Source organism: Homo sapiens, chromosome 7 (genome assembly GCF_000001405.40).
Source record: "Homo sapiens chromosome 7, GRCh38.p14 Primary Assembly".
In the NCBI taxonomy this organism is placed as follows: Eukaryota; Metazoa; Chordata; class Mammalia; order Primates; family Hominidae; genus Homo; species Homo sapiens.
Genome location: NC_000007.14, coordinates 144016350 through 144020872, shown reverse-complemented (window position 1 = coordinate 144020872; position 4523 = coordinate 144016350).

Below are 4523 nucleotides of genomic sequence, written 5' to 3'. Positions count from 1 at the left end.
ATAGAAAGAAATGACCTTCGACTGTCAGTGTCTGAAGGCAGAGGGGGATGGCACATAGGTCTCCCTTGTCCAAATGAAGCTTTTTTTTTTTTTGCCTTTAACCAGCAATCCAAACTGTCAAAGACCCCGGTAGTCTTGAGCTGGCATGAAGAAAAAAGCTAAACTCTCTAGTTGTAGCCCAAAGTAACTCCATTCAGGGAACTTCTGAAATACACGTTATTCCTGACACAAAGTTGTTATTCCTGTTATAGAAGGTCATTTATTCACAGACATACAGCCCCGGGGCCAAGTGCAGCTTATTAGTGAGTCCTCATGGGATCATTATTTCTTCTTTTTCAGGGGTAGAAGACAAAGTGTACGTCATTGAAGAGAAACAGGGGAATGAACATTGAAGGCCCATTTCTAGGCCATGCAGAAATTCCCAAACCTAATTTTAGAATCAAGTATTTCACTTTGGTCACTAGCCCAAATTGATGGGACCAAAGAGAATAAAACCCCACTATACATTTGTGGGAGTTTTGACAGAGAAATGTGTGGTAGTATTGACAGAGAAATTCCACGCCAGATTGCTAATAGCCTCTGCTTAACTCAACTTCTAAAGTGTCTGCAGAATGCTAAAAGTGAACTGAGAAGTGGGTTTCTAAAACACCATGGTCCCTTGTAGATCAGCGAGGAAGCACCTTCATTTAAGTGCTCTGGACTGTTTAGTTATGTGATTTTGACTCTGTTAACCTGGAAACTAGCTAAGATGGAATGTGTCAACTGTATGGTTGGTTCACAATGATTTTGAAAAAACAAAACAAAACAAAAAAGGACTCTTGATTGTTAAGTTACATCTGGACTTGGAGTAACAATAAAATAATTATAAATAGTTATTCTAATAGGCATGGCAATTTTTTGGTGTGTTTGGTGATTCTTATAAGGGGCACGTCCCTGTTATGAGAATCCTGCAATCTATGTCCCTGCAGTTCTTATAGGACATACTGGTTCCTATGGATCATGTGGCTTTTAAGTTAGGAAAATCCCTGCACCCTCCAATGTGAATCTCAACCTTTGATCTAAATTGTCACCTATGAAGAGGACAGCCTGTGGGCGGCTATGTGGACCAGTACACAGATTGCTGATGCAAAAGCTTCTGCTGAGAGAAATGCCTGACATTGTCTTACTAAATAGCAGCTGTTCTTATCTGATATCCTTCTGAGTCATTGGTGGCTAATGTGGCCTTCGGGAGTCTTTTGAGTTTGAATACTTAAATAAACCAGTGAAGATGCCCTTGGTGAGCAGAGCATGCTTAGAAAAACAAATTTCCCTGTTGTGTAACTCACATGTAACCATGGGAGACAATGAACAGGAGATCCTCCCAGAAACAAAAAGAGGCAATCAAAGTTTATTTTGTCTGTTTCCAAGTTTAAGACATTTTAAAAGGAAAAAAAAACCAACAATTTTATCTGCACATATGAACAGGACTGCTTGATATTTTATTTTAGACCTGGAGCTTGATGTGATCGATGGGACTCTATGTTATCTCCATTCAGCAGTAGTGTGAGAAGTTGTGAGTGTGTGTGTGTGTGTTTGGTTTTATTCTGTTTTGTTTCTGTTTTTTTAGCATGAGCATTTTAGAAATTCCCCATTCATCTTGGGAAGTAAAATAAATGAGGGTTTTACACAACCAAAATGAAGTAGTATAGTGGGTATGTACTATTTTGAGCCATTCAGCATCAACTGCTCCCTCCTTGATATGGTTTAGCTCTGTGTCCCCACCCAAATCTCATCTTGTAGCTCCCATAATACCCACGTGTTGTGGGAGGGACCCTGTGGGAGATGATTGAATCATGGGGTTGGGTCTTTCTCATGTTGTTCTCATGATAGTGAATGGGTTTCATGAGATCTGATGGTTTTGAAAACGAGAGTTTTTCTGCACAAGCTCTCTCTTTGCCTGCTGCCATCCACGTAAGATGTGACTTGCTCCTCCTTGCCTTCTGCCATGATTGTGAGGCCTCCCCAGCCATGTGGAACTGTGAGTCCAATAAGCCTCTTTCTTTTGTAAATTTCCCATCAGCAGCGTGAAAACGGACTAACACACTCCTGTTGGTAACAGAATCACAATTTTAATTCAGGTATGTACTCTCCTTTGTGTAGCCCATGAGCTTTGGAGGTCGATTCCATTTCTGGTCCCAGGTGTAATCCCTGACTCGCTTAAGCCCATTAGCATGTTTCAGTCTCTTGGGCATAGAGATGGTTTCAGGGGAAGGCATGGACATATGACTAAATTCTAACCCATAACACCTGAGGAGAAATTTTATAAGGGTTTCTAGGAAAGAAATGTCTGTTTGTTTGAAATAAGTGCCAGGAGAGGCATTCTCTTCCTACTAGAAGAAGTCTGGGGTCCCAGAAGATGCTGACAGACATATTATGACCACAAAGAAGTCAGTTCCAAGTGGAACCAAACTACGTGGAAGGCAGAAAGACAGATAAAAGGAAACGGGATGTTGGAGATACAACCGACCTGAGGATCAAGGCTCGCCTAAAATGTGTCCATCCTTTGTTAGGTTACTCAAGACAATACATTCTCCTTACTGTTTAATCCAGCTTGAGTCAAACCTCCACTGCTTGCATCTAAAACATTTCTTAATAATCTGTTTCCTGTTTATACACTAGACTCTTCATCTCATATATGTCATGTTATTTTTTCCCTGACTATGTACTTTAATGATAAAAGCCATAAATCCTTGGACTCTTGGGAGAATGCAAAACAGTTTCCTTGAATTTCCTGTAGATTCTGCCATATGCCATTTTCAGAAATACACTCTTTCCCTTGGTCTTTCCACGCTGTGGCTTCCTCGTGTCCATAGGTATGTGCTGTTGTCATTGCTCTAGCTCATCTTTAACTAAGGTGAAATTTGCCAAGATTCAATACAGAGGTTCAAAGCATCTTCCTATCTTTTTCCAGATCTTTTCTTTCATGAAATCAAATCAAAATAAGTTTTAACAGGACCAGTTTCCTTCCTTATAATTGTTTCATTCAGCCCAGACTATGGCATTAGGCAGTGCCAGTCTTGGGCTTCGGTCTGGTGATCATTCCCAGATTAGAGGGATCTGGTTAGAGAAACCCACTATATACAAGGTAGTAGATTGTTAACATAGGGATCTATTTAAGAAAAAAAAAAACAGTTAATTAAGTTATAGTGGACAAAATAGGAAAGCAGTCCCCAATTTCCCACTCTTGGTTCCTAGGAAGGATGCAGTCTGCTCATACTCTCAGGGTACAGGTGATTAGAGAGAATAAATAACAGCTCTCTTGGCTATGTTTTTGTTTGTTTGTTTGTTTGTTTGTTTGTTTTTTGAGACGGAGTATCGCTCTGTCACCCAGGCTGGAGTGCAATGGCGTGATCTCGGCTCACTGCAACCTCTGCCACCCGGATTCAAGTGATTCTCCTGCCTCAGCCTCCTGAGTAGCTGGGACCATAGGCACCCGCCACCACACCTGGCTAATTTTTTTGTGTTTTTAGTAGCGACGGGGTTTCACCACTTTGGTCAGGCTGGTCCCGAACTCCTGACCGCCCGCCTTGGCCTCCCAAAGTGCTGGGATTGCAGGCGTGAGCCACCGCACCCAGCCTCTTGGCTGTGTTTTAACCATTCTTGGCCCTGACTTTAGATGTCTATTCAAGTGTTGGAACTCAAAACATTATCTGGGCAAGCAGGATAGTTCTCACAGCTTCCCTTCCTGTGACCAGGGCTCAGCTTACTTATACCTATAATAACCCCACGTGCCATGCTGTCACTGTCACCAGAGGTAGGAAGTTACTTTTCATTGGCCCAACTGCTTCTGATTTTCTTAGAGTGTAAAACATTATTGGAAATGAACATATCTCTACATATTTGGGGCAGCAAGGACACATGGAAAGTTCTATGTCTTTTCTTAGAGCAGCATCACAGCCATTGACCGTGTTGCTCATCTTAAGTTTGTTGTACTGACTGTGCTGAGGATTCTCATCAGCTCTCTTTTCCCAGTTTGCGAGACAAGCACAAACTAAATGTTAAGAGCTCCTTTATATAGCTAATTATCAATATACCTGTAAATTTTTGTCTTTCTATGTGTGAGAGGCTTTTTCAGGAGTGTTAATTGGGTATTATTTGCAATCTAAATTTCCAGAGTTGTAATTTTAGATAGATTAGACTAGATATACTGTGTTTGAATATTCACAATCCTTGGATGTTACAACTTCTTCCAAGTGGTTTCCAAACTCAAGCATAAAGGTATTTATTTATATCCCCCAATTTTTCTTCCTAATGGGTACAGAGGTAACTATCCTGTAACTTCCTAAATAAACATAAAAATAAGATTATAATAATAACTCTTAGTCCCAGTTGTTTGTATTCATGTGTAAATATAAAGTATCTACATTATAATTACTTTTAAAATATTTTATTATATTATTATATTTTAATGTGATATGAATTTCTCATTATGAAAATAAACTTTTCTTTCTTTTTTTTAAATTATACTTTAAGTTCTGGGATAC